The sequence below is a fragment of the Homo sapiens genome, chromosome 8, assembly GCF_000001405.40.
Source record: "Homo sapiens chromosome 8, GRCh38.p14 Primary Assembly".
Lineage (NCBI taxonomy): Eukaryota > Metazoa > Chordata > Mammalia > Primates > Hominidae > Homo > Homo sapiens.
Window position 1 is genome coordinate 18,889,344 of NC_000008.11, and position 26,932 is coordinate 18,916,275.

The 26,932-nt window shown below is 39.5% G+C and overlaps 1 protein-coding gene and 1 long non-coding RNA gene across 19 annotated transcripts in view, besides 2 other annotated features; one reads left to right on the forward strand and one right to left on the reverse strand.

Annotated features, from left to right (window-relative positions):
• Positions 1 to 26,932, reverse strand: part of PSD3 (pleckstrin and Sec7 domain containing 3) — a 557,503-nt gene that overhangs the window by 362,041 nt on the left and 168,530 nt on the right. The window lies entirely within an intron of this gene.
• Positions 1,961 to 3,685, forward strand: LOC124901895 (uncharacterized). Its single transcript, XR_007060837.1, has 2 exons — positions 1,961 to 2,312; positions 3,307 to 3,685. It is a non-coding gene; the product is annotated as an uncharacterized LOC124901895 (long non-coding RNA).
• Positions 14,933 to 15,756: an enhancer, noted in NCBI's record as "OCT4-NANOG hESC enhancer chr8:18761786-18762609 (GRCh37/hg19 assembly coordinates)". NCBI's record gives its function as "activates a minimal SCP1, AML or CMV promoter by ChIP-STARR-seq in primed H9 embryonic stem cells {active_cell/tissue: H9 hESC(primed)}" and the evidence as "EXISTENCE:reporter gene assay evidence [ECO:0000049][PMID:30033119]".
• Positions 24,324 to 24,835: an enhancer, noted in NCBI's record as "H3K27ac-H3K4me1 hESC enhancer chr8:18771177-18771688 (GRCh37/hg19 assembly coordinates)". NCBI's record gives its function as "activates a minimal SCP1, AML or CMV promoter by ChIP-STARR-seq in naive H9 embryonic stem cells {active_cell/tissue: H9 hESC(naive)}" and the evidence as "EXISTENCE:reporter gene assay evidence [ECO:0000049][PMID:30033119]".

The following is a 26,932-nucleotide window of genomic DNA, read 5'->3' on the forward strand; positions in this document are numbered from 1 at the left end:
CCCTGGGCTGGCTAATTCCTAGAGACAGAAAACACCCCTGTGCGAGCGTGCCTGTGATATACAAACCAACCAATCCAGAGCCACAGCAGGTAATATTCCCCCATCCTAAATCACCCAGGCCCAGGTCCTGGACAACTGGGGGCCATCCCTATAGCCCAAAGCCTGCCAAAATTATTCAAACTAGCCAATCTTAAACTTACCCAGCTTGGCTACCCTGTCTTGCCCGTTCCCTTCTGAAAAAACAAACAAACAAACAAACAATAAAGGCTCTGGGCCATGCTCCCCCATCTCCCATCTCCGGCTCCCATCCCAACCTGGTGTTTCCCTGTGATCCCGTGCAATGTACTGAGCCTCCTGTGTCTAAGGATCTGTAAGCATAAACCTCTTTCATAACAGTCATTTCCATGTCTGGATGTCTCCCCATACCTGAATTTTTAAAAACCCCATGTACAAATTTTAGAACAAAATTTTGGGAGGAACAAATGATTACTCACTAATTATCAGGAACAAAATTTCAAATGCACAATGTATTTCCAGACTCGAAAGTCACTAGTGCTTTCCAAAGTTTAGTTTGGAAATGACAAACTATAGGTAATAAATTTTTATTTGATATAATGTGTTATTTCTAAAAAATTTCAAATAAAGTAATATAAACAGGCAAGCAAGCTATTATTGCCCAACCTGATATAAGATTTTTAGAAATACAACTTTTTCACAAATCAAGACTGACTGCATGATATCGAGTTTTATTATCATAACATCCTCTGTTTTATTGTTACCTTTTTTTAAAGCACGGGATCCACGTAGGAGACAATAAGATTACTGGAGGAACTGGTAACAATAATTCCTTATGTAAAGTAACTTTTCCTTCATTGAACAAGTTCCAGTAAACAAGAAATCAGTTTTCCTAGCTCAATTTAATACTTTTTCAGTCTGGTTCTTAGATCTTGAAAAAAAAATTCAATGCCAATTTAAGGCTTATAAAAATTGAGTTTTTGTATTTTAGTCTGTTGTCTCCATTACCAGGTACATCTAAATGTTCAAGCTTAATCTAGAGAGAAAATCAGAATTCCAAGAAGATATTATGTGAAATAAATCCAAGTGAGCCGAGAGGAGAGAGGTGAAAAGCCAAAACCTGTCAATAATGATAGTCACGCCAGAGCTCTGTACTCTAATACGCTGTTTTGAAAAGAAAACAAAACCTCAAAAGTGAAATTTAACTTATAAAGGGTATACATACGACCCTCCCGGTAAGCTCGTTGGGAAACATACAGTATAAAAGGTTTGTATGCTGGAAACATTACATGTAATAAAGAGGTAATTACAAGTCACCTGCAAACCTCTATAATTGTCCTAGAGCTACTTCACAGATGAACAAAGTAGCTAAGCTCATTGTCTTGAGTTACTGAGTGTGATCCCTCTCAGCACAGAAGTGATGTGTGTTCCCTGTGCTGCAAACTGCACTGGGGGTAAGGGTGGGGGAGGGGGAACAAAGAGAAAAGGGGTCGAGTGGCAGAAAGTCACAATGAACATTTTGAGATTCCTGTCTTCCAGGGACCAAGCAAGATGCTTTTCACCTCTCAGGCCTCCCCTGTCACTTTCTAAGAAACTCTCTACCAGTTTCTGTGTCCTAACCCAGCCTGTGATAGAAAGGAAAGATCAAAAAAGAGCAGGAAGCAGATCTCACAGCAGGTCTCTGTCAGTCCCTGTTAACCCAGAGCTTACTATGGATAATGCTTGCTACATCACACACACCCAATTAATTGTTTCATTTAATCCTTAAAAACCTCCCTACCAGGTAGATATCAGGTATACCTAAATATAAGGCAACTCTAAGTAACTGTTAGGTACTCTATAAATTCCAATGGGGCAAAAAGTTATTGGCCATATTGAATATTTAAATTTTTAGGATGGATGAAATAATCAAATGGCTCCTTATAATATTTTATTATGTTAATTTGCATATATAAAATCACATAATACATTAAAACAATAAATAAATGCGTTTTCGTTCGCTTCCACTTCAGGAAATGATTTTGTTCAAGATTTTCATGTGTAATTTGTCATAAGGATCTTTGCTACGACTACAGTCTCCTTATCTTGCATCTTCAGTTCTAAGTTATTTGAGATACAGCAATTTTTTAAATGTGTGATGGAAGTTCTATCCTAACCTACAGTATCCATTCACTAGCAGTGATCTGAACATCACTTACTGCATGTATGACCTAGAAAAGTCATCTTTAAGAAGCTGGTTTATCCAACATCCAACACCTGCACCTCCGAGAGCACTTCCCCAGAAAGAATTACTAAATGTGTGTTCAACTTGTTTTCTCCCTCTTTTTACCCTGTTTTAGTGATCTCCATAAGCATTCCAAACTGACATTATCTATAGTTATTTCAAGCTCATATGTTTTCTCCAAAGAATTCTTTGTTAATCAAAATAATCAAAAGAGGATCCCTAATACAGAACACTTTAAGAACTTAATGTAAGACCACTCCCTCTCTTCTGGTATCTTTTTGAGAAAAACATCCTCACCCTAACTTTGGGATATATTGAGTATTCATTCCTTTTTACAAAAGAAGAATATAGAGAAAGTTTAGGCAACCTGAAGCATATAGAGGAAGTTAACCCAACACACAGTTAAAAGAATAAGAAGCAACCCTCAGACCAAAGTTTACAAAAGGGGCATTTAGTTGGCAGCCCACATGTGAACATAAAGAAGAGCCGAAGAGAACAAAGTCACTCTTTTACATTATTTGCACTTTTTTTCTAGCACAGTTGGAGAATTTTAATCTTTCTTTCCCTATTGTTTGCTGTCACTTACTTACAATCACACACACACACACACAAACTTTATTTTCTATTAATATAAACCATATAAACTTTTTTTTTTTTTTGAGACAGAGTCTCGCTCTGTTGCCCAGGCTGGAGTGCAGTGGTGCTATCTTGGCTCAATGCAAGCTCTGCCTCCTGGGTTCATGCCATTCTCCTGCCTCAGCCTCCCGAGTAGCTGGGACTACAGGCGCCCGCCACCACACCCAGCTAATTTTTTGTATTTTTAGTAAAGACGGAGTTTCACCATGTTAGCCAGGATGGTCTCGATCTCCTGACCTCATGATCTGCCTGCCTCAGCCTCCCAAAGTGCTGGGATTACAGGCGTGAGCCACCGCACCTGGCCATAAACATTTTTAATGAACACACGATGTATCATCAGTAATACAATTTAGTCATTGTTGAGTAGTCTGGGTATTTCCAGTTATTTCCAATATTATCCTAATTTTCTTTTTTTTTTTTTTTTGAGACAGGGCCTCACTCTGTCATCCAGGCTGGAGTGCCGTGGCGTCATCTTGGCTCACTGCAATCTCTGCCTCTCAGGTTCAAGCGATTCTCACACCTCAGCCTCCCAAGTAGCTGGGATTACAGGCATATACCACCACGTATGGCTAACTTTTGTATTTTTAGTAGAGACGAGTTTTCACCATGTTGGCCAGGCTGGTCTCAAACTTCCGGCCTCAAATAATCCATCCACTTCAGCCTCCCACAGTGCTGGGATTACAGATGTGAGCAACCGTGCCCAGCCCCTAAGTAAATTCTTATACTGACAACTGGATAATATGATTCAGAATGTAATCAAAATATTAGTGCAACTGATGCAAATGAAATAAATGTCCAAGAAGTCAGTGATATGTATCTGTTTTGTGCACTATTGTATCCCCATGTCACTGAGAACCCCAGAAAGTACCAGCATCAAATTGCAAGGTCAAGATGGCATAAAACACGGTTGCATGTACTGGGCAAGAAGCACTTTGATGGTGAGCTGAGAAACTGCTTTCGCCATGTACTGAGCCTGGGATGGAATCAGAATCACAGGGTGCGGGGTCAGCATGGGAGCAGGAAGCAAACAGAGGGATGGGCTTAAGGGGCTGACCTGAGGGGGTTTATATAATATACCTCCAAAGAAAAAGCAAGAGCAAGTTCTGGGAGTAACTGAATCTCCCTAAAAGTAGAAAAGTCACTAAGCATCCAAATGGCATCTAAGTGGGCAACAGGAACCAGCCAGAAGGGCTCGATAAACTGTACTTATCGAGTTGATTTCCAGCTAGCCTTTGGTTAAATTAGGTTTGTAACTCTAAGCCGTTTCTTTTTATTTATTTTTTCTTTCTTTCAGTATAAGATTTTCTTCAAACAGTCTAGTTTCGTCTCAAGTATCAAGTAAAGTGAAATGTATCATTCCACCTCTCTGTAGGGATGAATGAGGGTATCGGTGGGCTAGAGGGCAGGGAAGCAGGATCGGAACTCCAGGCCCAGGCCCAGGAGCAGAGCACATCCATGTGCTAGAGGGCAGGGAAGCAGGATCAGAACTCCAGGCCCAGGCCCAGGAGCAGAGCACAGTCTGGCCAACTAAAGGAAAGGCAGGGTAAAGGATTTCTTTTAGAATCCCTCTCTCTCACTGGCTCACAGGCAACATGCTCTCCCAGCTGCGGTTCTGCCACGGCTGCCATTCTGCTCCATTTCCTTGGCCTGTTGTACTTCTCCCACTCCCCTTTAGTGATAGGTGAAGGCCCAGGGATTAGTTTTTCACCCGCTGTTCTTCTTATTTCACATTCTCTGCCTTTCAAAATGCAAGAGCTTGGAAGCAATATCTATCATCCAATCAACACACCGGTGCGGTGGCAAATGTACCCTAAGTCAGTCAATATATATAAATTGCTTAAAACAGTGCCCAGCACATAGGAAATATTCAGTAAGAATTAGCTGTTATTACTACCAGTGCTGGGAACCAGCCTTTGCTACATTACCATGTGATTTGGGCCAGTAATTCTGCCTTTCTTTTCCAGCCTTTTGTACTCACTACAAAGTACATTTGTACTCCCAGGCTTTTGTACAATTAATTTTGAACCTAATTCAAACAATCACTGTAGGCAAACAAGATGCTTACTTCACGGGTTTTTGTAAGATTAAAATGACAGAAGTCACATGAAGCGGCACATGAAAACCTCAAAATGACTAAATATAAGGCTCTACATCAATAATTCCATAGCTCTATGATGATAATTTCAGGTGTCCAGACCTGACATCTCCCCTAGGCTTCAGGCTACCTCACAGTTCCGTTGTGTGAGAAGGAATCACCAAATAGAAACTATTACACAGGAAAAGCAAAAGATGTCAGTAATTTAGTCCATTCAGAAGCAACTATGTCAATCAGCCAGAACAGACATCTGAGGCAGGAGTCTAAACTTGAACTGGGTAACAGAACAAGGAGAGATGAAAGCAAGATAACTGTAGATGAGATTGTATTCTTTTAACCCCAAGAATAAAGAAAGGCAAATACAAAAGAAATCTTACCAAGCAGAATTAACCATCTCAAAGCTACATTCGCATCTGTCTTGACAATCGGAACTCCCACCCTATGATAATAACGTAATGAGAAAAAAATACAAAGTAAACCATAACCAGGAGAAGCTCACACATGGTCTAGTTAGCTCACTTTGCGGGAAGGTCTGAGGAGACATCCGGAAGGGACAAGTATCTCATGTTTTGAATGAAAGGGAAGGATCTGAGTTTTGTATGAAGTGTTAAAGCTCTCAAGAGAGATTTTGGGTACTCTGTCCTGTGCATCTCTCACAGACAGTGGTCAAGTCATTGCCAGTGACAGGCCATGCTGTTACATATCTACATTATCTCAGAAGGCCACCCCACCCTTTGAAAGACACCAACGGAAAACAGGAATCCTGCACTGAGGACAGAGTCTCACTTTCCTGAGATCCTGTATGTGCTCTTGGCAATCAAGGAAGCCTGCTCTCTGAACTGTGTGCCCCCTGCACCTATCATCCCCTGGAAAGTTGGGCATATCCAGAGAAGCAGAATACAGCAAAGAGTCAACAATTCCCAACTGTCTGGCAGATGCCCCATGTCACACATTTAACATGTCAAAACCAAAGTGATTGCCTTCCCTGAAAAACTAGCTCATGGTGGAGAATTCCTATTTCAGATGCATCATTAACATCTCCTGTCACTTTACTGCCAAACTTCAGAGTCATCATATCTCCCCCTATCTACAGTCACCAAGACTATCATGACTTTCTGAAAGTCTCATGCATTTACGCATTTATATTCCTATCAGCATCTCTTGTCTACAGTGCATACAATTCGTTTTGGAATTAAATGCCAACCCTAACAAGTCTCCCTCCTCAACACTGGTTCATATCTTCCAATCCACTCTAAGCAAGTTTGCTAGATTAATTTTCCTATAGCACTTTTCCTTTTTTAATTTCTGACAAAAGCACAAAAGAAACCTGTGTGTTGGGGGTTTTTATTATTACTCTCAGTTTACAGATAGTAACTGCACATATTTATAAGATACAGTGTATTTCCACACACATATATGATGTGATATGATCAAAGAACAGTAATTAGCATATCTAACACCTTAAACATTTATCATTTCTTTGTGTTGAAAACATTAAAAGTCCACTCTTTCGGCTATTTGAAAATATACAATAAATGTTTGTAAATTATACTCACCCAGTCCTGCTATAGAATACTAGAACTTATTCATCCTAGCTAGCTGTACCTTTGTATCCTGTATCCGTTAACTAACCTTTGGCTATACCTACTCCCCTTCCCCTCCACACTTCCCTGCCTCTAGTAACCACTATTCTACTCTACTTCTATGAGATCAACTTTTTTAGCTTCCACATATGGGTGAGAACATGCGGTATTTATCTTTTTATGCCTGGCTTATTTTACTTAACATAATGTCCCCAAGCTAACTCATCCATGTTGCCATGAATAACAGAATTTCATTCTTTGTTACTGCAAAAGAGTATTCTATTGTGTGTATATACCACATTTTCTTTATGCTTTCATCTGCTGATGGACACATAGGTAGATTCCCCTTCTTGGTTATTGTGAATAGTATTGCAATAAACATGGGAGTGCAGATAGATCTTCAACATACTGATTTCCTTTTTTCTGGATATATACCAAGTGGTAGGATTGCTGCATAATATGAGAGCTCTATTTTTAGTTTTTGAGCAACTTCCATACTGTTTTTCCTTAGTGGCTATACTTTTATTTTATTTTTGAGACAGGGTCTCGCTCTGTCGTTCAGGCTGCAGTGCACTGGTGCAATCTTGGCTTGCTGCAGCCTTGACCCCCTGGGATCAAGTGATTCTCCCACCTCAGCCTCCCAAGTAGCAGGGACTACAGGCACACACCACCACCTCAGCTAATTTTTGTATTTTTTGTAGAGATGAGGTTTCACCAGATTGCCCAGGCTGGTCTTGAACTCCTGAGCTCAAGCCATCTGCCCACCTCGGCCTCCCAAAGTGTTGGAATTACAGGCGTGCACCACCATGCCTGGCCTCCTTAATGGGTTTACTAATTTACATTCCCACCTACAATGTGTAAGAGTTTCCCTTTTCTCTTAATCCCACTAGCATTTTTTTATGTTTTGTCTTTTTTTGTTTTGTTTTGTTTTGAGACAGAGTTTTGCTCTTGTTGCCCAGGCTGGAGTGCAATGGCATGATCTCGGCTCACCACAACCTCCGCCTCCCAGGTTCAAGCAATTCTCCTACCTCAGCCTCCCGAGTAGCTGGGATTACAGGCATGCACCACCATGCTCGGCTAATTTTGTATTTTTAGTAGAGACAGGGTTTCTCCATGTTGAGGCTGGTCTCGAACTCCTGACCTCAGGTGATCCGCCCACCTGAGCCTCCCAAAGTGCTGGGATTACAGGCGTGAGCCACCGTGCCCGGCCTATGTTTTGTCTTTTTGATAACAGCCATTCTAGCTAGGTTGATATAATATCTCATTATGGTTTTGATTTGCATTTCCCTGATGTTCAGTATTTTTTCATATACCTGTTGGCCATCTATATGTCTTCTTTTGAGACGTGATGTGTCTGCTTATTGAAGAGACTGTCCTTTTCCCAGTGAATGTTCTTGGTGCCTTTGTTGAAAATGAGTCGGCTATAAAGATGAGATTTATTTTTCTGGGTTCTATATTCTGTTCCATTGGTCTGTGTATCTGTTTTTATGACAGTACTATGCTATTTGGTTACTATGGTTTTGCAGTATATTTTGGAGTCCGGTAGTGTGATGTCTCAAGCTTTGTTCTTCTTGCTTTGGCTATCCAGGGTATTGTGTGGTTCTAGGCAAATTTTAGGACTGTTTTTTCTATTTCTGTGATGAATGACACTGGTACTTTGATAGGGAATGCACTGAATGAGTATACTGCTTTTTGTAGTATGGCCATTTTTACCATATTAATTCTCCCAATTCATGAAAATGCAATGTGTTTTTATTTTTGCATATGCCTGCTGCAATTTCTTACATCAGTGTTTTATAGTTTTCCTTGCAGAGACATTTCATTTCCTTGGTTAAATTTTTCCCTAGGTATTTTACTTTTTGTAGCTACTGTACCTGCAATTGCTTTCTTACTTTCTTTTTCTGCTATTTGAATGTTGGTATATAGAAACACCACTGATTTTTCTAAGTTGATTTTGTATCCTGCAACTTTACTGAATTAGACGGTCAGTTCAGAGGTTTTTATTTTTTGAAGCTTTCATAGTTTTATTTATATAAGATCATTTATCTGGCTAAAACTTCTAGTACTCCTGAAAAAAAATGGAGAAAGTGGTCATTCTTGTCTTGTTCCAGAGCTAGAGGAAAAGTTTGCAGCTTTCCCCAGTTCAGTATAATGTTGGCTATGGTTTTCTCATATACGGCTTTGACTGTGTCGAGGTATGTTCCTTCTTACCTAACTTGCTGAGAGTTTGATTAAAGTGCAGTTTAAATCCAATGTTGCTTTGTTTGTTTTCTGTATAGATGATCTATCTGATGCTTAGAGGGGTGTTTAAGTGCCCAACTATTACTGTCCTGTTTAAGTGCAATTTAAATCTAATAATATTTGCTTTGATTACCTGGGTGCTCCAGTATTAGGTACATATACGTTTATAAGTGTTATATCTGCTTGCTGAATTGATCCTGTTATCACTGTATAATGACCTTCTTTGTCTCTTTTTACATGAGTTTACTTAAAGTCTGTTTTATCTGATATAGGAATGACTACATTTGCTTGCTTTTGGGTTCTGTTTGCATGGAATGTCTTTTTCCATACTTTCACATTCAGTCTACAGTTGACCTTTGAATAAGATGGGATTTAGGGGCACTGAGCACCACCACCATGCAGTTGAAAATCCACATAACTTTTGACTCTCCAAAAACTTAGCTACTAACATATTAGCCTACTATTGACTAGAAGTCTTACTGATAATATAAATAGGGAATGGACACATATTTTGCATGTTGTATGTATTATATACTTTATTTTTATAATAAACTAGAGAAAAGAAAATGTTACTAAGAAAATGATGAAGAAGAGAAAATATATTTACTATTCATTAAGTGGAAATGAATCATCATAAAGGTCTTCATCCTCAATTTCTCATTGAATAAGCTGAAGAGGAGGAGAAAGGAGTTGTCCTCATCTCAAGGATGGGAGAGGCAGAAAAGGTAGAGGAAGAAGAACAGGAAGCAAGAGAGGCAGGCACATTCAGTGTAAATGTACAGACATAATCATAGTTTCTGTCTTTTTAACTTTTTCATTTCTCCAAAAATGTTTCTTCTATACAGTACCAATCCTTCTTCCACTGTTTGCTTTAGTTTCAGTGCCCATATGATAGAAGGGTCAACATCATAAAAGAAGTCAAAAACAGTCTGGAATCATGGGAACCATTCTGCCAGATTATCTCATGTCAATTTGTTTTCTAGAACTGCTTCTTCCACGTCTTTTTCCTCATCATCTGGCACTAATTTTGAAGCACTCATCTCCAGCAATTCATCTTCTGTTAACTTCTCTGGTGTGATACCTATTTGCTCTTGAATTTCTCTGATATCTACATCTTGAAATCCTTCCTCACCACCCCTCATACCTTTTTTCCCATATCTACAATATCTTGTCATGATTTTCTTGATTGGCTCAAATGTAAATCCTGTGAAGTCCTGCACAACATCTGGATAAAGTTTTCTCCAGCAAGAACTTATTGTTTCAGATTTCAAGGCTTTCACAGCTTTTCCTTTAACAATGGAATCTTCAACGATGCAATCTTCCAGACTTTCATGATGTTCTGTCAGGGTTCTCTTCCATAGCACTAACAATTCTTTCCATAAAACACTGTGTGTAGTGAGCCTTAATGGTCCTTATGACCCCCTGATGTAGAAGCTGAATTAGAGATACTGTGTTTGGGGGCAAGCAGATGACTTCGATGTCTTCACTGTTGAACTCATAGAGTTCTGGGTGGCTAAGGGTATTGTCCTATATCAAAAGAACTTTAAAAGGCAGTCCCTTACTGGCAAGGTACTTCCTGAACTTAGGGACAAAGCACTGATGGAACCAATCCAGCAGAAGAGTTCTTGTTGTTCAGGTCTTCTTGTTATATAACCCAAAGATTGGTATCTGTGTTTATCTTTTCTATTCAAGGCTCAGGGGTTAGAAATTTATAGACAAGGGCATTCCTCATCATAAATCCAACTGTATTTGCATAAAACAATACAGTTGGCCTATCCCTTCCTGCCTTAAATCCTCGTACTCACTTCCCTTCCTTACTAATAAATGTCCTTTGTGGAACTGTTTTCCAGAAAGGGGGCACTTTTTTTCTACAAGAAAAAAAAGAAAGAAACCTGCCAGGCAGATATCCATTCTTCTCAATGATTTTCTTAATGGTGTCTGGGAACTTGTCTACTGCTTCTTGGCTGTCTGCTGCTTCTCCTGTTATCTTGACATTTTTTAAGGCAAATCTCTTTCTAAAATTATCGAACCATCTTTTGCTGGCATTACATTCTCCAAGTTTAGATCTAACACCTTCCTTTTGCTTTAAGTTGTCATACACTAACCTCATTTTTTCTTAAATCATTGTAGAGTCTATAGGCATGATTTTCTTATAGGTATCCTGCATCCACATAACAGCTACATTTTCAATATAAAAAAGTTCAAGGTTTTGTGCCTACTGAGGGAGCTGCAGTGACAACAAATTTCCTTTTCTTTTCTTACAACGGTACTTACACTGCTGGATTCTTTTATCTTGAAATGGCAGGTGACCACAGCTGCAGACCTCAATCCATTTGGTACATATCAAGCAATTCACCCTTCTTATAACATCATGAATTTTCCCTGCTTCTTGGGAGCACTTCCAGCATCACTAGTGGTACTTTGTATGGGTTCCACGGTGTTATTAAGGTTTATAGTAGTGAACTAAACATGATGAAAAATACACAAAAACCATGAGAGACAACTCTTTTTTTTTTTTTTTTTTTTTTTGGGAGACAGGGTCTTGCTCTGTCACTCAAGCTGGAATGCAGTGACACAATCATAGCTCAAACTCCTGGGCTCAAGACATCCTGACACCTCAGCCTCCCAAGTAGCTGAGACTACAGGTGTGCACCAACATGGAGATCACTTTTTAATACAACACATAATTTACTGGACAGATGAATGGTTCACATGGAGCTGTTAGCATCACACAGTGTTTTAAGCAGATACAACACTCAAGCTCATTGCAATAGCAACAACAGGTGGCTTCAACATTATTATATAGTACAGTATGTACTACAGTTAATTGTATGCAGTTATGATTTAATACTGCATCTTTATGTTTCTTTACATTTCTCGGGACTGCAAATGGCACCATGTACAGTCTGGTGTATATAAGTTTTGATAAACTTTAACTTTTTAAAGTAGATGTGTTTCTATTTCATGGTAATAAATGATTAAACTAGTATCTACATATATTTTATGAATTCATGTCACAACTCTTGTTCATTTTTCCAGTATTTCTAGTCTACATGGTTTGTCTGCAAGTTTTCTCAAATTGTTGCAAATCTCCCAAAAAATTAAACAACATATTTATTGTTTAAAATATTTGAATATAAGTGGACCTGTGCAGGTCAAAACCTGTGTTGTTAATAGTCAACAGGTAAAGTGAGTTTCTTGTAGGCAGCATAGAGCTGGGTCATGTTTTTTCATCCATTTAGCCAGTCTATATCTTTTAAGTGGAGAATTTAATCCATTGACATTCAAGGGTATTATTGATAGGCGAGAACACACTCTTGTTATTTTGTTAATTTGTTTTTGAAGTTGTTTGTATATCCTTTGTTCCTTTCTTCCTCCTTTCGTTCCTTTCTTCCTCTTTTTCTATCATTGCAGTTTGGTGGTTTTCTGTAGCCTAAGTCTTGATTCTTTCCTCTTTCTCCTTTGTGTATCTGCTCCACCAGTGAGTTTTATAATTTTGCCTGTTTTCATGATAGTGATTTTCATCTTTTCACTTCCAGATGCAGGACTCCCTTGAGCACTTTTTGTAAGGTTGGCCTAGTGGTAATGAATTCTCTCAGTTTTTGTTTGTCTGGGAAATACTTTATTTCTCCCTCATCTCTAAAGGATAGCTTTGCTGGGCATAGTATTCCTGGCTGGCAGTATTTCTCTTTCAGCTCTTTGACTATGTATCAGCCCATTCTCTCCTAGCCTGTAAGGTTTCTGCAGAGAAATGTGCTATTAGTCTAATGGAGAGTCCCTTAGATGTGATTTGACTCTCCTCTTTTTCTGTTTTTAGAATTTCCTCTTTGTCCTTGACTTGTGTCAATTTGACATAAATGTGCCTCAGGCAAAAAAGAAAAAAGAAAAAAAAAGACCTTTTTGGGTGGAATTTATTTGGAGACTTTTGAGATTCCTGGCTCTAGATGTCCATATCTCTCCCCAAACTTGGGAAGTTTTCAGTTATTATTTCATTAAATATGCTTTCTATGCTTTTTTCTTTCTGTTTTCCTTCTGCAAATCCCATAACACAAATATTTATTTACTTAATGGTGTCCCACAAGTCTTATAGGCTTTCTTCACTTCAGAGATTCTTACGCTTGATCAAGTCTTCTATTGAAGGTCTCTGCTGTATTTTTTTATTTCACTGATTGAATTCTTCAAATACAGGATTTTTATTTAATTCTTTTTTATAATTTCTCTCTCTTTGCTGAATTTCTCATTCACATGGTGAATTGTTTTCCTGACTTCATTAAATTGTCTCTCTTTTCTGTTTTTCACTGAGTTACCATAAAATTATTACTTTGAATTCATATTCCACCAAGTCATTGAATTCTTTTTCACTGAGGTCTGTTATTACAGAGTTATTATGTTTCTTTAGTGGTGTCATATTTCCTTGCCTTTTCATGTCTTGTCTCCCTGTGTTGATGTCTGTGTGGCAGATATCTGTGTGTTGATGTCTGGTGGAACGGTAGCCTCTTCCAAACTTACTAGACTGGCTTTTGTACAGAAAGACTTTGACCTTCAGTAGGGTTTTACTGTGCTGGTTGGAAAGAATGTGGTAACTGTTTCCAGACAGGTGCAGTAGTAGAGTCTCTGTGCAGACTCTTCATCTGCATTCAATGTCAGCAATAACTGTGGGTGCCTCAGTGGCGTATGTTGTAGATGTTCGTGGCAGTGGTGACAGTGGCATAGGCTGCTAATGTCTTCAGTCCTCCTATTCTCATTTTCCACACAATGGGGAGACTTAGATGAGGGGATTTCTCTAGGTGTCAGGTCTGACATGGCCTACAAGTGGCTGTAACAGCACTGAGTTGCTTGGAGTGGCTGTGGGGCCAGGGTCCTAGGCTCAGAATCTTGTGAACCTCCTGTGGCACCTGCATCTTGGAGTGCGAACTTGCTGTCTGTGAAAGGATTGGATGTAAGTTGCCCCCGGAACCAGGATCTGTGACTCAGAGCTACTCCCTAGCAGCTCAGGCTCAGGGGGCCAGGTTGTAGCTGTGATTTTACTTTTAGGGTATACAGTGAAGCACTCACCCAACTCCAGGAAAGTGATACTCTGAAGGTTTAGGCTCAAGGTGCAAGGTATGACTGCGATTTGGGAACTTGACCCGAACGGCAACTCGGGTCCCAGGGAATGAGTCACCTTGTGGTAGTGACTCTAGACCCTGGGTTGGCAGTGATCGTCAGCATCTGAGCCTCTGTGAGGCCAGGTGCAGTGGCAGCAAGTACCTGGGAATGGCAAAGAATAGCTGTTTTTTGCAGCATGGTGGGGTGAAGAGTGTGGGGTCAGGAAATAGCACATTGATGATTCCATTCCTCAAGAACAGATGTGTCCCAACAGCTCAGACTCTAGGGCCTAGACCAGCTCCACGGAAGCAGGATACAAGAGCTGTTTGGTCTATAGGCCAGTGTGTCTCAGCTAAGCCACTGTTCTACTTCCCTGTTATATGGGGTGCTATGTCAGTTCAGCCCAGGGATGTGTAGCTACTTAGCTCAGCCAGGGCACTGATACCCCAGGGACCAATGTGCTCCTTCAGCTCAGGCCTGGGGGCCTTGACTGTTCTGGATGGCCCAGGCACAGTTTCCCTAGGATGCAGGCTGCTGCTTCAGCTTAGGTACTAGGATATAGGACCTTTCTGGGGGGCCAAGGCACCGTTTTGGGGACATGTGGCACCCTCCAACTTAGGCTGAGGGAAGGTGTGACTTCTCCGAGTAGCCAAAGTACTGTTTCCCCAGGAGAAAGGGCACCACTTCAGCTCAGCCCAAGAAGGCGGGGAGAGGGGTAGGTGATGTGGCTCTACTTCTGCCTGGGGAAGTGTATGATTCTGTTTTGCAGTGCTATAAAGGAACACCCGAAACTGAGTAATTTATAAAGAAAAGAGGTTTAGTTGGCTCACAGTTCTGCAGGCTGTACAGGAAGCATAGTGCCAGCATTTGCTTCTGGTCAGGACCTCAGGAAGCTTTTACTCATGGTACATGGCAAAGGGATAGCAGGCATGTCACAAGGTGAGAGAGGGAACAAGAGAGAGAGAAGGAGGTGCTAGGCTCTTTTAAACAACTAGGTCTTATATAAACTAACAGAGTGAGAACTACTCATTACCTCAGGGAGGCACCAAGCCACTCATGAGGGATCAACCTTATAGACCCCAGGATTGTACAGCCACTGCCAGTGTGCACTCTGAACTTCAGAAAAGCTGCAGGCATTGCACTCCAACCCAGGCTGTGCCCAAGAAAGCCATGAAGATGGGGCTGCCCAAGGCTTCAGCGGATCACCCTTTGTACCAGTGTACCCAGGATACAAGACATGGCGTCAAGGACTATGTTGGAACTTCAAGGTTTAATGTCTTCCCTGCTGGGTTTCAGACTTGTGTGGGGCCTACTACCCCTTTCTTTTGGCTGATCTCTCCCTTTTGAAATGGTAATGTGTACCCAATACCTGTACTACCATTGTATCTTGGAAGTAAATAACAAAACAAAATAAAAATTTTAAGTACATCTTCTGTAATTATGTTACAGCTGTAATTGTTTACTCAAGGTCAGCAAATTTTTTTCTGTAAAGGACCAGACAGTAAATACCTTAACCTTTCTGGGCCATAAGGTCTCTACATAAACACGCAACTTTGCCATTGCAACCAAAACAACCACAGACAATAGTAAATTAACATAAGACTGTTTTCCAATAAAATGTGATCTAGAAAGACAAGAGAGGAATAGGATTTAGCCCAAGGGCCATAGTTTGCCAATCTTTCCTTTAACTTGTTATTCAAGAACTTTTGCAATCTGGCTACTAACTCCCCACCTTATTTCCCTACTGCTATCTTGCTGGCACTGTGTATTAGGTTTTTCTTTTAAAATATAGCAAATACATACCATATTAAATTATAAGAAAGGTACTAGCTTTGCAAATTAAAAAACTGAGGCGAGAGTGTTTTAAGTAGCTTATAGCCAGGACTAGAAGCTGGATGAAGAATCCAAGCTGTTAACCATTACAAAAAGCTGCCTCTCCATTGGTCAACTCAGCATCCCCCCTAAGTTACATGATCACCTCTGCACTTTTGCTTATTAAATTATTTCCCCCTCTCTAATTTTGTCCTACTCATCTTTCATAACCTGAGCTCTCAATGAAGCTCTCCATGCCTCACCAACTCTCAGTGACTTCTCCTCTCCTTTTCTTCTTTTGTTTGAGACGGAGTCTTGCTCTGTTGCCCAGGCTGGAGTGCAGTGGCGCGATCTCAGCTCACTGTAACCTCCACCTCCCAGGTTCAAGCAATTCTCCTGTCTCAGCCACCTGAGTAGCTGGGACTACAGGTGCACACCACCATTCCCGGATAATTTTTGTATTTTTAATAGACGGGGTTTCACCATATTGGTCAGGCTGGTCTCGAACTCCTGACCTCAGGTGATCCACCCACCTCGGCCTCCCAAAGTGCTGGGATTATAGGCGTGAGCCACCACACCCGGCCTCTTCTTTTATTCTGAAAACATATATTGCCTATACTTTTCTATGCGTCCTTATATTTTCATAATTTCATACTGTCTTCCCTACTTACTTTTTATCTTACATTTTCTAGATCCTAAATACCTATCATAGTATTCTGAAGTCAAAAGGTATTCATTATTTTTTACTGGATGATATTAACATACAAATAATTCACGAATATAGGCCTAAAATAATTTTTACCACTCCCTATACTTACTAAGATTAAAGCAAGTGGTCTCTTTACAGTAAATATATCATTTTTCAAGATGAAAAAAGAAACAAAGTATAAATTGGTTCTTTGATCTTTCTAGAATGAGATACGCTTTGCAAAAACAATTATAACAATATATATTCAGTAACTGAACTACTTAGAAGAGATTATTTTATAGTAAACATCATATTAGTGTGATTGAACTAGGATAACAGTTGTATCTGAAAGACCGGCAAAAATATAATACACTGATTTTTCTGTTCTTTAAGTCTCAGAAAAGTGGTTTTCTTTGAGAAAGACATCCTTGAGAAAGCTACAGACCCTCTCCTGACAAAAAATATCAGATAAACATTTATACGAATTTTTCATCAAATATCTGGGTGCTCCAGATCCCCTAAAGTTAAGAAACCCTGCCTGAAAGGGTCTCATATTAGCTACTCACAGCTGTAACTCACCTAATAAATTTTCCTTTTAACACAAGACATTCAAAGAAATTTCAATGCACTAATAAGATGTGGCCGTGTTTTTAAAATTCATACCCAAATTAGAAGGTGTCGAAGATCATAAACATTGGAAATGGGGAAATTCATAGTTAGGAGCAAACGGGTGAGGGGAGAGCAGGAATATTACCAAAGACTTAAAGATTTCAATTTCATGTTACTACTTGCTAGGAAGGCTCTGATGGCCTGGTGATCCTGCCATGTATATGAGGGGCACAAACACAGGTTTTGTAGGGACAATATATATGATCTTATTGCTAAACTTCATACCTTCAAATCAGAAGTGGTAGTATCATATCCTAAAACAATAAATTGAACTAAGAAAAATTAGCATAAGAAAGTAATTGTAGTGTCTATTTAAAACTCAGATTTAGAAATAAAAACAAGTAAGTTCCAAATAAAAACAAATACAGTCATGCACCATATAAGAACATTTCAGTCAATGACTAACTGCATATACAAAAGATTATATACCTAATTATATACATACACGTAAGATTACAATGGAGGCAAAACACTCCCATTGCCTAGTGACATCGTGAAAATCCTGACCCTGGGTAGGTCCAGGCTAATGTGTGTTTCTGTGTCTTCATTTTCAACAGAAAGCTTAAAAAGAAAATATAAAAACTAAAACATTATTAAAAGCTTATAGAATAAGAAAATAAGGAAAATATTTTAGCATAGTTGTACAATGTATATGTATTTTAAGTATCATTACAAAATAGTCCAAAGGTTTTAAAAAGTTAAAAGTTTACAAAGTAAAATAGTTACAGTAATCTAAGGTTGTTACTGAAAGATAAATATTTTTTATAAATTTAGCGTAGCCTAAGTGTTGATTGTTCATAAAGTCTACAACAGTGGACAGTGATGTCCTAGGCCTTCATATTCACTCACCGATTCACTCAGAGCAACTTCCAGTCCCGTAAGCTCCAAGCATGGTAAATGCCCTATATGATGGTACAATTTTTTGTCTTTTCATTGTTTCATTTTATTTATTTTATTTTGTAGAGATGGGGGTCTCGCTGTGTTGCCCAGGCTGGTCTTTGAAATCCTGGCCTCCAGTGATCCTCCCACCTTAGCCTCCCAAAGTTCTCAGATTACAGGCATGAACCACTGCACCTGGCCTTTTATCTTTTCTATTGCATTTTTATTGTACCTTTTAAATGTTTAGATATGTTTTGACATACAAATACTTACCATTGTGTTACAACTGTCTACTGCATTAAGGCAGCAACATGTTGCACAGGATTAGAGCCTAGGAGCAATAAGCTATACCATATAGCCTAGGTGTGTCTCATATACCATATAATCTAGGTTTCTGCAAGTACACTCTGGTGTTCAAACAAGGGCGAAATCGCCTGATGACCTATTTCTCAGAACATATACCCATCATTAAGCAGCACATGACTGTACCAACAGAGTAACAACCCCGTGAATACAACAACAGACAAATAACAAACAGTAACATTAATGATACATAGTTGCCGCATTTCAATTTCCTTTCATTTAAACTTTTTTCAATAAGTTGAATTTATTAAATGTATTGCTAAGCTGGATTTAATTTTTATAATCTTTTGCACTCGGCACACAAGAATGACAGCAATATATCACAAAATTCTAAATTTTAAGTATGCAACGTGAAATGGTTAAAATCAAACTATCTGTAGAATATACATATATTGATGGATGTAGATAAACTGATGAATGCAGAATTGATAACAGGTAAATTAATATAGAATTTCAAAAATAGCCAAATGCCAATAAGATAACCAGATGTAGTTTCATCTCTGTTGGCAAAAGAAATATCTATAAATTTGTGCCTTTCAGAATGAATGATTGGTTCAACAATAGAGGCAAATTCTAAGGTGGAGTGGAGGCCCCCCAGAAAGAGGGCAGTCACCCAAATTAAGCAATTAAGTAAGACTTTTGGAAATATACACTTTAAATCACCATTTTTTGGATTAATATTTAAGGTCTTCCATGATCATATCTTAATTTACTTCTCCATCTTAGTCAATAATCTACTATCCTCCACAACATCCTGTACTCAGTCTCAGGTCTTTTTAGAACCAAATTCTCCCCATGCTTTCCATGTATTCAAATAATACTTACCTTTCAAGGCAAAGAACAAATGAGCATACCTGGAAAAAGCCTCTGATTACCCCTTTCACCCTGCACTGCTTCTCCCCTCCTGTCCATATGATAACCACATATCCCTGACTTCCCGTTCTGATCCTGATCATCTCAAACAGTCTGTCTCCTTATGAAAGCACGTCTGTCTCTGTGCAGGATCTTCAGCATGAAACAAGTCATCTGTTCATGAGATTCGTACCAATCATTTGGCACTTAATTACGTATCATCTTCTATTTAATGGTTCCTCGTATGAATGTTGTCTTGCTTGTAAGTTCATTATCTCCTTATAAGCAATGACTAGCAATATTGGGTACACAGCAAATACTCCATAATTATGTGCAGAAATTAGTTAAACGTCATTATTTCCTGCCCTCCCCTTTTTAAAACTATCTAAATATGAGAATCAAAACTATACAAATCTCAGTTCCCGACAAATTCTAGGAAACCTGCAGCCACACACAAAACAAGAGTCTCTAGTCATTTTCACTTTAAATAGAAAACTAAAACAGGGTCTCAGTCTACTTTAATTCTACTCATTTTAACCAACTCAAAGTTTACTATGACAAAGTTCACTATGACAATTGTTCCAAGGGTAACTAAAGGAATTACATTTCAGATATTTAGCAATCATCATCAAAAGGGCAAATACTCTAAGTTGCTTTTTCCTAGTGTAGTTGGGTATTGCATTGAGCCATCCCTATTAATTTGCTTGGGTTTCCCTAAAACCAACAAACATATTTCTGTAAAATAGCTTGCAAAGCTCCTGATGTACAGAAATGAACGTTATCTCTCCCTTAAGGTTTGACCGTGGCCCCATTAACACCACTGTCTTACCAAATGAACAAACTGTGACTGGATGCTTCAATATATGAACGGTATAGGCACTCACACACAAAATATTGTTGCATAAAGGCACAGATAACTTAGCTATGGATAAAAGGGTATTTGGTCTTGCTTCTCGGCTATTTTGTATTTTTCTTCTTCTTATTATTATTATTTTTAATTTTATTTTTTAAGAGGAAGCCTTGCCCTGTCACCCAGGCTGGAGTGCAGTGGCATGATCTCGGCTCACTGCAACCTCCACCTCCTGGGCTCAAGCAATTCTCCTGCCTCAGCTTCCCAAGTGAGCAGCTCGGACTACAGGCTCACGTTACCATGCCCGGCTAATTTTTGTATTTTTAGTAGAGATGGAGTTTCACCATGTTGGCCAGCCTAGTCTCAAACTCCTGACCTCAAGTGATCTGCCCACCTTGGCCTCCCAAAGTGCTGGGATTACAGGTGTGAGCCACCATGCCAGTCCTGTAGTTGTTTTTAAACTTCTTTAATTCTACAATGTTTTAAGTAAACAGAAATTGTAATTTATGTTTCTTTGTTTTTATATGTTTTTACTTCTATCGTATTCCTGACATTGTAATTTCCCTCCGCTGGGAGGCAGGGGCTTTAACTTTGGTTGCTGGAAGTTACAGCGAAAGGAAAAAGTGGCAGGCTGGTGCCCAATTATAACAGAGAAGGAATTTAGATGTTTCAGCAGCCTGAGACACAGAGGACTGCCCCACGAAGAGTTCGCTCCCCTCCCTGAATGCCCTGTCATTGGCACCCAAATGCTCCCAATGGAAAGGAACTTGTATTGAAAAGTCTCCATCCCATTACTGGGTATATACCCAAATGAGTATAAATCATGCTGCTATAAAGACACATGCACACGTATGTTTATTGCGGCACTATTCACAATAGCAAAGACTTGGAACCAACTCAAATGTCCAACAATGATAGACTGGATTAAGAAAATGTGGCACATATACACCATGGAATACTATGCAGCCATAAAAAATGATGAGTTCATATCCTTTGTAGGGACATGGATGAAATTGGAAACCATCATTCTCAGTAAACTATCGCAAGAACAAAAAACCAAACACCGCATATTCTCACTCATAGGTGGGAATTGAACAATGAGATCACATGGACACAGGAAGGGGAATATCACACTCTGGGGACTGTGGTGGGGTCGGGGGAGGGGGGAGGGATAGCATTGGGAGATATACCTAATGCTAGATGACACATTAGTGGGTGCAGCGCACCAGCATGGCACATGTATACATATGTAACTAACCTGCACAATGTGCACATGTACCCTAAAACTTAGAGTATAATAAAAAAAAAAAAAAAAAAAAAAGAAAAGTCTGATGCCCCAGGCCATATCCTCTTTCTCTTCCAAAGGAAAAATACAAAAAGCTGTTGTGGTATGCCAAGATCCATAAAGAAATGGTCAGCTAGATGGGAAAAATCATATAGTTTAGTGGTTTAAGTTTTGTTTTGTTTTATTTTAACAAAGAAATTGTGCCTTCAAATGGTATCTGACACAGAAGTCGAAAAAATAAAACAAACAGAAGTTCAAGGCCAGGCCAGGCTGGGTAACATAGCAAGACTCTGTCTCTACATAAAATTCAAAAAAATAAAAAAAAAAAAAATAAGTTAGCCAGGCATGGTGGTGTACTCCTGTAGTCCCAGCTACTCAGGAGGCTGGGGTGGAAGGACTGCATTAGCCCAGGAGTTCCTGGCTGCAGTAAACTATGATCATGCCACTGCACTCCATCCTGGGCAATAGAATGAGGCCATGTCAATCAATCAGTCAACCAATAAAACAGATAAAAGAGGGAGTGTTTTCGGTAGAGTGGGGGTGGGAGCACAGTTTCATAGCATTATCCCCTCTTTCCTCAAACCACAGGGAGACACAGACACAGACTTTGGTTTAAAGACTGAAATAACAAAAATAAAGCCAGAGAAGTTAAATAATGTATTCAATACTAACAATTAAGAACAAAGCCAGAAGTATAGCCTACTTTCAAGGAAAGTTAGCACACTGTCACTTGGGAGCCAGTGGCACTTCACTCCAATTTCCTGTAAGGCTGCAGGATATGGTGGAGAGACAGCCTTGATGTCATGCTTGACTGGGCATGGCAGACCCGTGACTTCCTTGCTGTGTAACCTGAGCTTAGTTAAGTTACTGGGCCTCAGTGAGTCTCAGGAACCTCATCTATAAAATGGGGGTGAGGGGAGAAACTGTATCAGAAGATCTGTCTGAGGTTCCAAGAATAATACAAAAAGTTCCTAGCAGAGTGTCTGTTGCATAATAATGATGTAAGAGCGTTCACTTCTGCAATTTGGTGTGATAAAACAGAAAATGAAATCTTTATGTTTGCTTTCCAAACAGCATTTTCATTTTTTATAATTCATAACTCAGGGATATATATATAGACATAGATATATAAATGTACACATACACCTACAGATACACACACACACTCTACCCCCCACCACACACATCACTAGTCATCATGAACACAATGAAGCAGAGAACTCAGGTTTGAACACCCCAAATTAAGAAAAATATCTTACACATTTTGTCAGCCTACACCGTAACTTAATACACACCAAAACAAATGCAACAACTCAAAAACTATCCGTCCACAAACAGCCAAGTTAAGTGGGACCTTTCACATTAGTCTTTCAATTATTATGACTCCAACAAGAATGATTTCTTCAGAAGGTTTTGAAAAATTTATACATGAGGAAAAAAATCAACCCACTAGACCAGGTTTCATATATTCTTGTTAACACATCTTGTCTTCTGGGGCCTACCAAAATGTCCATCTGAGAAGTTTTTGCCATGAAAATCCCAGATCCTTATTTCATAATGTCATAATGAGATTAAGATATAACAGGGAATATTTGTACACCACTGGGATTTTGACAAACCTCCAGATTAAATTAAGCAGAAAGAACAAAAGAGTATTAACTCCGAAACAAATCTGAAGGAAATCTGCTAGCAGGAATATCCTTCAGGAACAGCGCTTCACAATGTTAACCGCTACTGAAAAGTGTTGCAGGTTCAGTCCACCAGGGGGCAGTGTTGTCTAACTATTAACAGAACTGAGTTCTTAAAAGGAATAAAACTTTTGTACTTAAATTTCTTTCTAAGCTTTCAGAAGGAAAAAAATATATATATTCTTTGAAGGAAAACCTAAAAATCTTTAATTTAGATATCTTTAATTAGGTGAAAATCTAAAAGATGGTCCACTTCTCAAAATCATTTTGTGCCTGTTAATGTTTATCATCTCTGTGGCTAGGATTCTCCTAAAAGAAATGAAGACACTCACTCACCACACCTAGTTCCACAACCTGACCAGGGCTGCTTCAGTCCCGACCAGAACCCTCCTCCTCTTTGGCAACCTGATGTTGAAGTTCAGAGAAAGCAGTGAACAGTGACAGGTGGGACCCTATTGCTTCATCACAAATTTCAAGCTAGTTCATGATGGCCACTGTATTAAATATCTACCCACTATTCCCAAAAAACATTTTCATGCAACAGGAAATACACCCTAAATTTTAGCTTGAGAGAAACAGTTACCATGCTGTCACAATGACAAAAGCCCCAAGTGGGCTGCTGAGTGGCAAGGCACCCAGGGGATGTAGAGTACACTCCTAGAGCTACTTAAGAAACGGCCACCATCTACCCTGAGTAATTTCAATAATTGTGTGATCATTAAAAAAAAAATCTGGTTTAATCTAAACAACTTTATAAACACACACACACACACAAACACACACACACACACACACACACACACACACACACACTCTCCTTCTCCTATTTCAATGCATTCAATTACCTCCTAATTGCTAGATGCTTCAGTCTTTATTGGACTGGACTCATCCATGGCATGTCTCTGCAACTACTGCCACCTTTTGAAAATCCTCTCTCTCGTTTTCCAAATATTTTTCTGTTAAAGTTTCCCTTCTCTATCTCGGGTTGATTCTTCTAAATTTATTTTAAATACTACTTTGTCAACCTGTTCATTTTTTTTTTCTTTAGAGTGCAAACTTCAGATTTCCTGTCATTTTCCACATGATTCCTGGGCAATCATACCCACTTCCAAAATGTCTTCTAAGCCCCAATGGCCAAAGGCTTCAGACCTGCACCCACAGACCCAGAAACCAGTCTGGCCCTTGCAGATAGAGACTCCAGGCCTCCCAGGAGCCAGGCCAGCCTCAGGGGCCTCATGCTCTACAGAACCAAGGATCCAGGCCTGCTTCAGCAGACCCTGGGGCCACACAAGCTGCCACGAACCCAGGACCCAGGCCCATCCCTAGGGACCCAGTCTCCAGGCAGGACCAGTGCCAGCGGACTAAGGATCTAGGCCTGCCCCCAGTGAACCCAGGGTCTAAGCACCAGGCTGGCCTTCATGGACTCAGGATCCAGGACTGCCCGTACAGGCCCAGGTACCAGGATGGTCCCCACAAACTAAAGATCCTACCTCTACCACTACAGACTCAGGCTTTAAGCACACCCCAATGCCAGGCCAGCCACTGCGAACTCAGGCTCCTACCCCAACCCTATTGATCCAGGTACCAAGCCCATCTCAGCACCAGGCTGGCCCCTGCAGATCCATGCTCTGGGCCTGTCCTCACAAACTCAGGCTCTAGGCCCAACTCAACAGACACAAGCTCCGGGCCCATCAGAGTAAACCCAGGCTCCAGACTTGAACCTGAAAATCCAGGCTCTAAGCAAACCCCAGGGGAGCCAGGAACCAGCCTGCCCAAAGGCTCCAATAGCAAGCCTACACACATTCCCTTCCAGATGGGGGATTATAAGATCATCTCCATAGACTCATAAACAGCATTTGAGAAAATTCAACACCCTTTCATGATAAAGAAAAAAAAAAAAAACACCTTTCAACAAATCAGGTAAAGAAGGAATGTACCTCAACATAATAAAGACCCTATGTGACAAGCCCACAGCTAACATCACACTCTTGAGAAACAAGGCAAGGATGCCCACTCTCACCACTTCTGTCAGCACAGTACTAGAACTCCTAGCCACAGTAATTAAGCAAGAAAAAGAAATAAAAGGCAGCCAAATTGAAAAGGAATAAGTAAAATGGTCTCTTTTTGCAACTGACATGATTTTATATACAGAAATCCTAAAGAGTCCACCAAAAAAAATGTTAAAACTAATAAATTCAGTAAGGTTGCAGGATACAAAATCAGCATACAAAAACCAGTAGCAATTCTATACACTAATAACAAACTATCCAAAAAAAGATATCAAAAAATAATCTCATTTGTAACACCTACAAAAAGTAAAATACTTCAGAATAAATCTGACCAAGAGAGTGAATGACCTATACAATGAAAACTATAAAACACTAATGAAAAAAGTTGAAGTGACAAAAATAAATGGAAAGATATCCCATGTTCAAGGATTGAAAGAATTGTTAAAATGTCCCTATTACCTAAAGCAATCTACAGATCCAATGTAACACTTATAAATATTCTAATGGCATTTTTCAGGGAGATGGAAGAACAATTCTAAAATTCATACAGAACCAAAACAGACCCCAAATAACCAAACCAATCTGGTGCAAAACAAAGCTGGAGGCATCACGTTACTTGACTGCAAAATGTACTACGAAACTATGGTAACCAAAACAGCATGGTACTAGCATAAAAACAGACCTAAACCAATGGAACAGAATAGGAAGCCCATAAATAAAGCCTTACTTTTATAGTCAATTGATCTTTGACAAAGGTATCAAGGACACACAATGGGGAAAGAACATCAATGAACAGTGCTGGGAAAACGGAATATCCACATGCAGAAGAATGAAATTAAACCCTTATTTCACAACATATACAAAAATCACCTCAAATGGATTAAAGACTTAAATGTATGACCCAAAACTACAAAACTACTAGAATAAAACATAGGAAAAAAGGCTTCTTGACACTCGTCTAGGCCATGATTTTTTGGTATATAACACCAAAAACACAGGCAATGAAAGGCAAAACAGACAAATTGGATTGCATCAAACTAAAAAGCTAACACACAACAAAGGAAACAATTGTCAGGGTGAAAAGACACCAACAGAAGTGAGTAAATACGTGGCAAATCATGTATCTTATAAGCAGTTAATATCCAAAATATCCAAGATATAAATACATATATACATTTTATTTGTCAAACAACTCAATAGCAAGAAAACAAATAACCCAATTTAAAAACCTCCTATGGGCAAAGGACTGAAACAGACATGTCTCAAAAGAAGACATACAAATGGCCAACAGATATATTTTAAAATGCTGAATGTCACTAATCATCATCCAGAAAAAGCAAATGAAAACCACGATAAGGTATCACCTCGAATCTGTTAGAATGGCTAATATCAAAAAGATAAAGTACCAGATGCTGGAGCCATGTGGGAAGAAGGGGAACTGTGTACACTGTTGGTGGAAAAGTATGGAAGTTCCTTTAAAAAAATAAAAATAGGGCAGGCATGGTGGATCACGCCTCTAATCCCAGCACTTTGGGAGGCCAAGGCAGGAGGAATCACCTGAGGTTGGGAGTTAGAGACCAGCCTGACCAACATGGAGAAACCCTGTCTCTACTAAAAGTACAAAATTAGCCAGGCATGGGTGGCACATGCCTGTAATCCCAGCTACTCGGGAGGCTAAGGCAGGAGAATCGCTTGAACCCAGGAGGCGGAGGTTGCAGTGAGCGGAGATCGTGCCATTGCACTCCAGCCTGGGCAAAAAGAGCGAAACTCCGACTCAAAAAAAATAAAAATAAAAGTAAAAATAGAACTACCATATGATCCAGCAATCCCATTTCTGTGTATTTAGCCAAAGGAAATGAAGTTAGCATGTCAAAGAGATATCTGCATTCCCATATTCTTTGCAGCTTTATTCACAAGAGCCAAGATATGAAATTGACCTCAGTGTCTATGGATTG